Source organism: Homo sapiens, chromosome 2 (genome assembly GCF_000001405.40).
Source record: "Homo sapiens chromosome 2, GRCh38.p14 Primary Assembly".
NCBI lineage: Eukaryota > Metazoa > Chordata > Mammalia > Primates > Hominidae > Homo > Homo sapiens.
The window spans coordinates 175,105,560-175,117,764 of NC_000002.12; the positions used below are offsets into that span (position 1 = coordinate 175,105,560).

At 38.7% G+C, this 12,205-nt stretch overlaps 1 protein-coding gene across 13 annotated transcripts in view, besides 2 other annotated features; it reads right to left on the minus strand.

Annotated features, from left to right (window-relative positions):
- Positions 1-12,205, minus strand: part of ATF2 (activating transcription factor 2) — a 95,945-nt gene that overhangs the window by 33,301 nt on the left and 50,439 nt on the right. For 10 of the 13 annotated variants that reach the window (NR_045773.2, NR_045771.2, NR_045772.2 and 7 more), the window contains 3 exons: positions 9,131-9,309; positions 8,435-8,549; positions 6,009-6,095 (listed from right to left, as the gene is read on the minus strand). Coding sequence is in view for 6 of the 13 variants with exons in the window: in NM_001256092.2 (NP_001243021.1) it covers positions 6,009-6,095; positions 8,435-8,549; positions 9,131-9,309 (381 nt within the window). In the remaining 7 variants the exon portion in view is untranslated. Of the gene's footprint in view, positions 1-6,008; positions 6,096-8,434; positions 8,550-8,683; positions 9,310-12,205 lie in introns of those variants that run through there. The other 3 variants (NR_045774.2, NR_045770.2, NM_001256094.2) reach the window with 2 other exon arrangements.
- Positions 1,820-2,760: an enhancer, noted in NCBI's record as "H3K27ac hESC enhancer chr2:175972107-175973047 (GRCh37/hg19 assembly coordinates)". NCBI's record gives its function as "activates a minimal SCP1, AML or CMV promoter by ChIP-STARR-seq in primed H9 embryonic stem cells {active_cell/tissue: H9 hESC(primed)}" and the evidence as "EXISTENCE:reporter gene assay evidence [ECO:0000049][PMID:30033119]".
- Positions 2,202-2,496: a silencer, noted in NCBI's record as "tiled region #9658; HepG2 Repressive non-DNase unmatched - State 16:ElonW, and K562 Repressive non-DNase unmatched - State 18:Pol2". NCBI's record gives its function as "represses a minimal TATA promoter and a strong SV40 promoter by Sharpr-MPRA in HepG2 and K562 cells {active_cell/tissue: HepG2 | K562}" and the evidence as "EXISTENCE:reporter gene assay evidence [ECO:0000049][PMID:27701403]".

The following is a 12,205-nucleotide window of genomic DNA, read 5'->3' on the forward strand; positions in this document are numbered from 1 at the left end:
TAAATGATGTTGTTAATATAAAAAGAATATTGAAGTGTGAAATAATTTCTATGCAACAAAAAAATTCAAGTAACCAGAATTCCCTTATCCAGTACACTGACATTTTAAGTTACCAGTTCAGGTTACTGTACCAGCATAGCAATATCTACTGTTTCACAAATGAGCTGAAATAAATAGCTATGATCTATTAGAAAATGGAAATAAAGGAAAATCAAATATACCAAAGATGGTAAGTTCCCAAACCACAATGTAATTAAAATATAAATCAATATGAAAAAGATAAATAGAAAAGCCTTGAAATATTTGGAAATTATACAGTGCACTTCTAAATAACTCACAGGTCAAAGAAGAAATCACAGGAGAAATTAAAAAAGTAATGACAATAAAAGTATAGCATATCAAAATTTGTGCACAGAGGAAATTTTATAGCTTTAAATGTCTATATTAGAAAAAAGATTTAAATAGATAATCTAAGCTTCTACTTTAAGAAACCCAAAAAAGATAAGCAAATTAAGCTTAATTAAGTAGGAGAAAACAAATATTAAAGACAAAAGTAAGTCAATGGGAGTATAAACATACCATTAAGAAAAATAAAGGCAAGCTACACACTAAAAGAAAATAGACAGTAGAAATATACGTACCTCTCTCTCTAACAAAAACCTTATATCCAGTGTAAATAAAGAATTCCAGGCTGAGTGCAGTAGCTCACGCCTGTAATCACAGCACTTTGGGAAGCCGAGGCAGGTGGATCACCTTAGGTCAGGAGTTTGAGACCAGCCTGGCCAACATGGTGATACCCATCTCTAAAAATACAAAAATTAGCTGGGTGTGGTGGCAGGTGACTGTAATCCCAGCTACTAGGAGGCTGAGGCGGGAAAATCGCTTGAACCTGGGAAGGGGAGGCTGCAGTGAGCCAAGATCTCACCACTGCACTCCAGCCTGAGTGACAAAGAGAAAGACTGTCCAAAAACAACAACAAAAAAAAAAGAATTACAGTCAGGTGCAGTGACTCACGCCTGTAATCCCAACACTTTGGGAAGCTGGGGTAGGCAGATCACTTAAGGTCAGGAGTTCGAGACCAGCCTGGCCAACATGGTGAAACCCCATCTCTACTAAAAATACAAAAATTAGCTGCATGTGGTGGCGGAAGCCTGTAATCCCAGCTACTCGGGAGGCTGAGGCAGGAAAACTGCGTGAACCCTGGAGGCAGAGGTTGCAGTGAACTGAGACTGTGCCACTGCACTCCAGCCTGGGCGACAGAGCAAGACTCTGTCTCAAAAATAAATAAATAAAAATAATTATGCAATAATAAAAACAATTGGCCCGGTGCGGTGACTCTCATGCCCGTAATCCCAGTACTTTGGGAGGCCGAGGAGGGTGGATTGCCTGAGCTCAGGAGTTCAAGACAAGCCTGGCAGAGCAATCTTTACAAAAAAATACAAGTAGTCCCAGCTACTTGAGGGGCTAAGGCAGGAGGATCACTTGAGGCTGGGAGATCCAGGCTGCAGTGAGCCAAGATCATGCCACAACACTCCAGCCTGAGTAACAGAGCCAAACCCCGTCTCAATCAATCAATCAATAAAAGAAAAACAACACAATTTTTTAAATGGGCAAAAGACCTCACAACTAATGCCTGGCCAAAAAGGAAATGGAAATTAAAATTATGAGACACTGCTAAACAGCTCTAGAATGTCTATGATTAAAAAGACAGGGAGAACCAAATGTTGACAAGAATGTGGGAACAACTGGAATTCCCACACGCTGCTGGTAGGAATGTAAACCTTTGGGTAAAGGTTTAGCAATTTCTTATAAAGTTAAATGTATACCTACCCTCTGACTCGGCGATTCTACTTTTAGCTGTTTAGTCAATAAAATGAAAATATATGGCCATGAAAGTTACATAAGAATGTGTATGAGACAGACAATTGCTGAGCAGATATCCTCATAGAAGTACGTTTTGTGGCTCCCTCTCCCTCTCCCTCTCCCCACGGTCTCCCTCTCCCTCTCCCCATGGTCTCCCTCTCCCTCTCTTTCCACGGTCTCCCTCTGATGCCGAGCCAAAGCTGGACTGTGCTGCCGCCATCTCTGCTCACTGCAACCTCCCTGCCTGATTCTCCTGCCACAGCAGGCCGAGTGCCTGCGATTGCAGGCGCGCGCCGCCACGCCTGACTGGTTTTCGTATTTTTTTTGGTGGAGACGGGGTTTCGCTGTGTTGGCCGGGCTGGTCTCCAGCTCCTAACCGCGAGTGATCTGCCAGCCTCGGCCCCCCGAGGTGCCAGGATTGCAGACGGAGTCTCGTTCACTCAGTGCTCAAAGGTGCTCAGGCTGGAGTGCAGTGGCGTGATCTCGGCTCGCTACAACCTCCACCTCCCAGCCGCCTGCCTTGGCCTCCCAAAGTGCCGAGATTGCACCCTCTGCCCAGCCGCCACCCCGTCTGGGAAGTGAGGAGCGTCTCTGCCTGGCCGCCCATCGTCTGGGATGTGAGGAGCCCCTCTGCCCGGCTGCCCAGTCTGGGAAGTGAGGAGCGCCTCTTCCCGGCCGCCATCCCATCTAGGAAGTGAGGAGCGTCTCTGCCCAGCCGCCCATCGTCTCAGATGTGGGGAGCGCCTCTGCCCGGCCGCGACCCCGTCTGGGATGTGAGGAGCCCCGCCGCCCGGCAGCCGCCCCATCTGAGAAGTGAGGAGCCCCTCCGCCCAGCAGCCGCCCCGTCTGGGAAGCCAGGAGCGTCTCCGTCCGGCAGCCACCCCGTCCGGGAGGGAGGTGGGGGGTCAACCCCCGCCCGGCCAGCCGCCTCGTCCGGGAGGGAGGTGGGGGGTCAGCGTCCACCCGGCCAGCCGCCCCGTCCGGGAGGGAGGTGGGGGGTCAGCCCCCGCCCGGCCAGCAGCCCCGTCCGGGAGGGAGGTGGGGGGTCAGCCCCCGCCCGGCCAGCCGCCCCTTCCGGGAGGGAGGTGGGGGGTCAGCCCCCGCCCGGCCAGCCGCCCCATCCGGGAGGGAGGTGGGGGGCGCCTCCGCCCGGCCAGCCGACCCGTCCGGGAGGTGGGGGGCGCCTCTGCCCGGCCGCCCCTTCTGGGAAGTGAGGAGCCCCTTTGCCTGGCCACCACCCCATCTGGGAGGTGTACCCAACAGCTCATTGAGAACGGGCCATGATGACGATGGCGGTTTTGCGGAATAGAAAAGGGGGAAAGGTGGGGAAAAGATAGAGAAATCAGATTGTTGCTGTATCTGTGTAGAAAGTAGACATGGGAGACTTCACTTAGTTCTGTACTAAGAAAAATTCCTCTGCCTTGGGATGCTGTTGATCTATGACCTTACCCCCAATCATGTGCTCTCTGAAACTTGTGCTGTGTCCACTCAGGGTTAAATGGATTAAGGGCGGTGCAAGATGTGCTTTGTTAAACAGATGCATGAAGGCAGCATGCTCGTTAAGAGTCATCACCACTCCCTAATCTCAAGTACCCAGGGACACAAACACTGCGGAAGGCCGCAGGGTCCTCTGCATAGGAAAACCAGAGACCTTTGTTCACTTGTTTATGTGCTGACCTTCCCTCCACTATTGTCCTATGACCCTGCCAAATTCCCCTCTGTGAGAAACACCCAAGAATGATCAATAAAAAAAAAAAAAAAAAAAAAAAAAGACTGTGTATGGTAGCTTTATTCACAATAGCTAAACACTAGAAACCATTAAAGTGTCCATGAGCAGGAGAATGGACAAAGAAATTGTGGTATATTCACACAATGGAATACCACTCAGCAATAAAAAGAAGCAAACTGTGATCACTCAACAACATGGATAAATCTGAGACATGCTGAGCTGGACATAAGAGTATAAAGTGGCTATTTATATGAAATTCTATAACTAATCTATGGTTACAAACATCAGAATAGATGGAGTGGACTGATCGGAAAGAGAGAAACTTTTATTCTTTTTAATTTAATTTCCTGATGACCTAAAAGAAACAGTTATTCAGGTTAAGTGTAAAGTTTAACAGTTTCTAAAAATATGGCCTACTCTTGTAAATAAAGGTATTTCTTAAAACTGGATTTGTTCCTTTTGAATTAATTTATAGAAAAAAGTCCAATGAATATGTAAAAATACTTTTAGATGCAGTACACAATAACAGGATCTCCTTTTAATATCTATATCTGCTCTATTCAGTTCCCACTGCATGGTAAATTAAATTGAATTTTTCATCAATCAGTATACTAAAATAGGAAGTGCAAAAAATGCCCCTGGTGAAGCTCTTCTGCTATCAAGTGAAGAAGATTCATCTTAGTATTTCCAAAGCTCTGACCTGAACATACTATGATGTGAAAAATTTCCTCCTTGGGTTTTTAGGGTCTTCTCTAACAATCAATAACCACCTAATTTTTATACTCTTCAACCAACTGCTGTTCATTCAGATAATATGTAAGTTTTATTGCTAAAACAGGGTGTCCTGTGCAAATTTCTGACTGATTGTCTGCACTAATGGAGAATAGCAGTAAAAATTTTTCAGGCCGGGTGTGGTGGCTCACGCCTGTAATCCCAACACTTTGGGAGGCTGGGGAGGGGGGATCACGAGGTCAGGAGTTCGAGACCAGTCTGACCAACATGGTGAAAACCCGTCTCTACTAAAAATACAAAAATTAGCCAGGCATGGTGGTGCACACCTGTAATCCCAGCTACTCAGGAGGCTGAGGCAGGAGAATTGCTTGAACCCAGGAGGCGGAGGTTGCAGTGAGCTGAGATTGTGCCACTGTACTCCAGCCTGGGTGAGAGAGCGAGACTCCATCTCAAAAAATAAATAAATAAATAAATTCAGCTCTGCAATATGTTTTAGCATGTAAAAATTTGTATTTAGTATAGTGCCTAGCAAATAACTGAAGCAAATAGAAGGTGTCTAATAACTACTAATCTATTGATTTCCTAAGGATACATTAATTAATTGCTGTTGTTAGCCCTATTATGATATAGAACGTTAACATCTACCCAATTAATCGATGTTATTAATTAACTGACATTATTGTATTATAACACAGCAAGGAGAATTACACTGATTTTTATTTTATTTTATTTTATTTTTGAGATGGAGTTTCACTCTGTCACCCAGGCTGGAGTGCAATAGTGCGATGCTGGCTCACTGCAACCTCGGCCTCCCGGGTTCAAGCAAATTCTTGTGCCTCAGCCACCCGAGTAGCTAGGATTACAGGCATGCACCACCACGCTCGGCTAATTTTTGTATTTTTAGTAGAGATGGGGTTTCACCATGTTGGCCAGGTTGCTCTCGAACTCCTGACCTTAGGTGATCTGCTCACCTCAGCCTCCCAAAGTGCTTGGGATTACAGGTGTGAGCCACTGCGCCCGGCCCTGATTTTCTTTAAAAATAGAATCGTCAGATCTTCTACTAAGAAAATTAGAACGTTTATAGGATTTAGGGTTAAGAAGTACCCCAGAAACCAAAGCTTAATCTTTTTATTTTACAGATGAGGAAATGCAATCTCAGGAAAGTTACAGTTGCTTAATTAAAGGTAGTGAATAGTGGAGTTAGGATTAAAATTAAAATTAAAATACACATCTAAACATTAATTTAATAGCATCCAAACAGCACAACAGAAAAAAATGGTTTTATCATGTTTGCTAACTTGTACACTATTTCAGAATTCTTTTTAATACTGTTAAAACCACTCATCATTATTAGCAGCACTGCCTTCAGATGATCACATCTAGTTTCAGATGTAATACTCCTATTTTCCACTAGGAGGAGAAAAAGCCACAAGAAAAAGCCAGACAAACAACAAGTGACAAGAAACAGAACTTCTAATCTGCCACTAATTTTAAAGTATCACTAACTACTCACTATGCTAAAGGAAGATTTCTTTTTTCAAATTTTGTGGTTTATCTATAGTATAAAACAGTCCGTAACTTTATAAAAATGTGATCTAAATTGTGCATTTGAAGCAGGCTTTAGTGAAAACATTAATTCAAAACAGCCTCAAGCAATGTACAGAACAAATAAAATCTGGCTTACCATTTTTGCTTCTGACTGTACTGGTTGGGGAGAGGAAGGACCTGGGATTCCTGGAACACTAGGCACCATGGTGACTGGTCGAACGAGCTATGCATGACATAAGGAAAAATAATTGCTAGAGAATATATTCAAAATGAGATTTGTACTTTACTGCTGTTGTAATAATTTGAGACTTTAAGAATCAGAACATTGTAAATTTATCACCAGCTGATTTTATCTCTATACCAAATCCTTATTTGGTCTTATATCCTGACTTATCCTTCAAAAGTTGTCAATTTCTGAGACGTGTGCTTTCCTAATTTTCAGTTTCTACAATTTCTTTCTTAATGGTCCCTGTTAGAAATTCATAATATTCAAAGTGATTAATGCAAAAATTCTCAAAGATCTGTCAAACTTCCATTTTGAATATGAAAGGAAGAATGTCAAAACTTGTGACACTTAGGCATAAAAAATAATTTCAACAATGAATTTTGCTTTTCTAAAAATATATACAATGAATTTTCTTATACATACCACATAATAACAAATAACACACTGTAATAATTTCTGAAATAATCTGTAACAGGTTTTACCATTTTGGTTTTTTCCTTTTTTTTCTTAAACCTAACACTGAGTGAACACAGTTACTGTATAAATAAAGCATATCTTTTCTTTCATTTCCGGTTGCTTTCATCACTAGGTACATGTAACAGGATAATCAGAATCTCAAAAACAAGGCAAGAATGTTTCCCTCCTCAAAAAAATATTCTCAGTAAAGAGGAAGCAGATACCTTATATCTGAGTCCTTACAAAGTCTCTCAAATAATGCATTTTGAACAAAGTTCTTTTTAAAGAAGGCACATTATCTTGAAATTACGTCAATCAATGCTAATTTTGGATAGTTTGAAAGATCACGTGGAAGAATTAGTTAATTAAAAAAAGATATAAATATCAAACATTAATCCTAGTAATATTCTTGGGGGTAATCTCACCGAAAGTGTTGGAATGTTACTATAAGTAAGCTTTTAAAAATAAGTTTTATTTTTTATTATTTTTGAGACAAGGTCTTACTTTGTTGCCCAGCCTGGAATGCAGTGGTGCAATCTCGGCTAACTACAGTCTCAACCTCCAGGCTCAAGTGATCCTCCCACCTCAGCCTTCTGAGTAGCTGAGACTACAGGTGCTTCCATCACAACTGGCTAATTTGTGTTTATTTTTTGTAGAGATGGGGTTTTGCCATGTTGCCCAGCCTGGTCTTGAACTCCTGGACTTAGGCAAGCCACCCACCCTGGTCTCCCAAAGTGCTGGGATTACAGGCATGAGCCACTGCACTTGGCCTAAAAATAATTTTTAAAAGCTACACTGTAAATGATTACACTGTACTGATCAGTAACAAGCATCTTAGAAGGTAAAAGAAAAAACTATCTTTTTATTACATAAATAAGTACCTAATGCTTGGTGTAAGATTTCCAGGGAGAGAATAATAGAGAGATTCATAAAGTAATATCGTAAATGATTTAGATGAAAAAGAAAATACTGTGTTCTGGAAACTGTGCTAGATGTCTCAAAAAGTGGTTCTCAGGATGAAAATTTGAATGTCAAAGACATAACTGAAGAGTTTGTTTGAATAAAACTGTTTTATGTAATGTAAGTAAGAAAAAAGCAATTTTCTAACACACATTATTCCAAACAATGTGTTTTTAAATGTTCATTAAACTATTACTTTTTTTTTTTTTTTGACTTGGGGTCTTGCCCTGTCATCCAGGCAGGATCCATAGCTCACTGCAGTCTCAAACGCCTGGGCTCACACAATCCTCCTACCTCAGCCGCCCAATACGCTGGGATTACAACAGGCATGAGTTGCCATGCCTGGCCAAACTATTAAATATCATAAGTAGATAGTTAACTATTTTGTCTACGTCTTTCAAAATTTATATATTTAACACACCCCTCAAAAAACTTTTTTGCGGGGTCTTTTCACAGGGAAAGTGAAAGATTATTTTTCTAGAACATTTACATTTTAACATGCTGGGCTATCAAAGATTCTACAAACCCTACTTGACCACAAAAATTCAGAGTGTGTCTTTATAAACAATTTCCATACTAATAGAAATACCACAGAGTTACCTGACAAGTATTCTAGTACAAATATCTTTCTAAAATTTGAAATCTGTGTTAATATTTGAATGCTACAAGTCCAGTCAAATTGATATGGGTTGAATAAGAAGATCTCAGTATAAAAAAAAAATTAAGGTTTTGGGGAGAAGAGAAAAAATAGCTATACCTTGAATGGTATATGCTATTACAATGATAACAAATAAATACTATCAACTGCTAATCAATATTATGTTAAATTCAATTTCATAAGCCAGTCAAGCAGCCAACTTTATTTTCTGACTACAAAGATCAGTTTTGCGATAGAGATTTAAATAGTCTAACTTTCTTACTGGGACTGCAGCTGGAACATGCACATTAGAACTTGTAATTGATGCAGGAATAGCAACAGGCATGGTTTGTCCATTAGGAAGATGTAACAGAAGAGGAAATGGGCCTGGTACAGGGCTAAGAAAAACAAAAGAAGAGAAATTTTAAAAAAGAGATTCATACCAACTGTCTCTTAAAAATACAATAGTATTTTTACTCCTATAATCATATCATTTAAAAATACATTTTCTAACCACAGCAAAGCAAATAGCAAAATTTAATTATTTTTAATTGCATCTTAAATGCATAACCTGTGTAGCAGTATTGAAAAGAAGAGAAAAGTTATGGATTTACTTAGGACAATCTCCAATTTGTAAAATGAGAAAAACTGTCATCAGAGAGCTCTTGGGAGCTACCAGTAAGAACTGAAAGAAATGGAATCTGGTGATGCAGTAATTTTATATTTTGTGTGAAATAGCATGAAAATAAGACTATCTTAAATTCACATTCTATATTTGTTTTTAGTTGTATTTATCTCCCACTCTGTTAGTTAATATTTATATTAAAGAAGACTACGCAAGTACTTTTTCCAAAATTCGAAGCATGCACACACATACAAAACTAAGATCTTAGTTTGAATAATCAAATGTCTTAGGAAAAATCATTACAAAACAAACTTAATTCATGTATATGTTCAATGATTGGCCTGAATCACTTACACAATTGGCCTGTTAGAGGATGGTGCCTGGGTGATTACAGTACTTGAGGTTGGTGAAGGTACTGCCTGCTGAATAATTACACTTGAGTCAGAACTTGTAAGCAGCACATTGGGAACCTGTAATGATGCTGGACGAACAATAGCTGATGTGGGCTGTGCAGTTTGTGCCAATGGTACTTCCTATTTAACAATGAGATAAAAAAGGGTGGCATTTAAAAATACAAATCATGTACCTTAGTGAACAGAATGTAACACACTTCTAAAAGCATCTACAGAATAATAACTGCTAAAAGCAAATTAATATCTCAAATTAATTAAAAGAACATTTTAGAAGAGCTGTAAAGATTCAAATGCAATGTTCAATTAATATTTTAATTTTAAAAAGACTCGTTTTTTTTTTTTCCAGTACAACTTGTTCTCCTATCAATCCAGAAATAAGTTAGACTGGGCAACTTGGCTATGATACCAAGAGAATTTTAATAAAAAATAAAAATATAATCCATTCTCAGAGAATCACAGAACTTAAAATCCAGAAGGGACTGTTTAGTCCCCCTCCCTCATTATACTGTATGAAGAGGAAACAGGTCCAGTGAGACTGTGTTATGGCTGATACAATTAAGTAACAGAAATAAGAACTTTTAGAGCAATACAAATAATTGTTAATTCCAGTTAGCTACCTCTTCTATATCAATAATTTCTTCATATCAAAAGGCCACGTAATACTGATATCTTGAATGTAAAATAAATAATTACCGGAGTGAACTCTTTCAAGTCAGGAAAACAGAATTTGTCAGCCAAGACCTTAAAGATGGTATTTCCTCTGGTTTTACAAATTATAGAACAAAAAGTTTTAAAAGATTTTACCCAGAACTCCTTAAATAGTCAGTGTAAAAATTGGGTCTATGGTGTTTTATGAATTGGCCTGTATGCTGCCACTTATCATCAAAATCTTATTAAGCTACATAGGAAGAAGGATAAAGTAGTAGTATTGTAACTTCATTTATTCAGTAAGTTGAGAACTTATGCTCCCAAGGACTAGCTCTCAAGGAAGAGACAATAAACAAGTAAAACAAGTAAGAAAATTTCAGATTGTAGTAAATGTTAAGTGTTACAGAATAATACGTGCAATGTAACAAAGGATGAAAGATTAGCTGAAGGTAAGGAAGAGTCAGTTAATTTAGACAGCATAGTAAGAATAGGTGAGCTTCTTTGCAAAAACAGCATTCGAACTGATGATAAAAGGATGAGGAGGAGAGCATTTCATTGTAGGGAGAAGGAAGCAATACCATATATGTCATGTCCTGAGGTAGGAAAAAGCTTTGAATATTTGATGAACACAATAGAGAGGCATGAGGTAAGGATAGATGCGTAGACAGGCCCAGATCAAAGAGGGCTTATGCCAAGGAGTGTGAATTATTTTAAATACAATGGTAGACCATTGAAAGATTTTAAGCAGGTGACATATTTAATGTATTAAAAGTCATCTTACAGAAAATGGATTGGAGGTAGAAGCAGGAAGACAAGTTAGAAGGTAACTGTTAATAATCCAAACAAAAGATGATGATGGTTTGGGCTTACGTGGTGTCACTGAACACAGACATAGAGGATGAGATTCAGGTCTGATAAAATATGCTGTTAGTTTCAGTGTAAAAGAAAGAAGAAATTAAGGATGACCCCTAAATTCTCAGCTAGAACAACTAAATGGATGGAGAAAATTTACTGAGATGGGGAAAACTGGGGGAAGAATCAAGGACTCTGATTTTGACCTATTAAGTTTAAGATGTCTATTAGACATAGAAAAGGTAATGTCAAGATGGAGTTGGATATAAATCTGGCAATCTGGTGAGATACCTATGCCCATAGAAATTTGGGAGTCATCAGTATGTAGATGTTTATTAAAGTTATGGGCCTGGATGAGATCACCTAGGAAGAAAATCAAGAAAGAAGAAGAGGTCCAGATTTTTTTTTTTTTAAATCAATTTCATATGGTATACCTTGCTCAAGGAGGGCCTAATGATTGGGGAATGCAGAAAGAAGGAATACTCCTAAAAGATGCTGAAGCAGCCACGAACAATGAAAAACTGTTAAGTGTGAAAAGAATGAAATGCTCTCTAGGAAAAAAGATTTGTATCAGAGATTTAAAAAGCATTTCCAATAACTGTAATAATGTGGAAACAACCTTTATGTCCAAAAAGAACAGGATAACATAATACATATACATATCATATAATAAAATAAAGTACAATCATTAAAAAGTATGATTTGGGGAACTCTCTAATGACATGGGAAAATATTCATCAATACTGAGGGTCTAAAGCACAATATAAAATAAAGCTAGGATCTTTATATCCATCTATCCTTCTATTTAACTATTCACTTATGTATTTGTACCTATAAATGTATATATCTAGAAAAAAATGTTTCAAGATAGTAATTCTTATTCAATTATGTGCTAATAGGTGATTTTGGTTTTCTTTTCATGTTTCTGTATTCTTAGAGAAGAAGAATGAGAATGTACTTTTAAAATGAGAAAAAGAAAATGAAGAAAAAAAAACAGAAAACAAAGCATTTATTCTTAGCCAAAAAGTTATTTTTTCTGTATTTCCTTATTTCTAGCTCCTCTGCCATGACAGAAGTCCATTAATAAGTATGGTTTTAGAATAACAATCTAAAAAAGAATATTGCCACTGCCTCTTTATGTGTCCCATTGCCCTTCGCTGTGTCCTGCATGGTACTCCCAAATAAATATGTGCTTATTCTATGTGCTTGTGAACAAAAGAGTGATCAAGAAGTTCCCATAATAATGTTACTCAACACACAACTGTAGCCCAGGTGGTCCCAGATTATCTGGGTATTCAAGCTAGTATCATCATCGTCCTAATTGCCGCTAACAAAGATCCACTGCTGAGAATGAGTAACTAGTCCCTTAATCCTGTAAAAGTCTAAAAAACCACTGTTCAAATAATTTTTTGAATAGATTCTTAATTAAGCTGTTACTGTATAAAAGTAGCTAAATATAAAATAGCAAAACACAGAAAAATTAAGTTAAATTTATAAATTTATATATCTTTTAAAA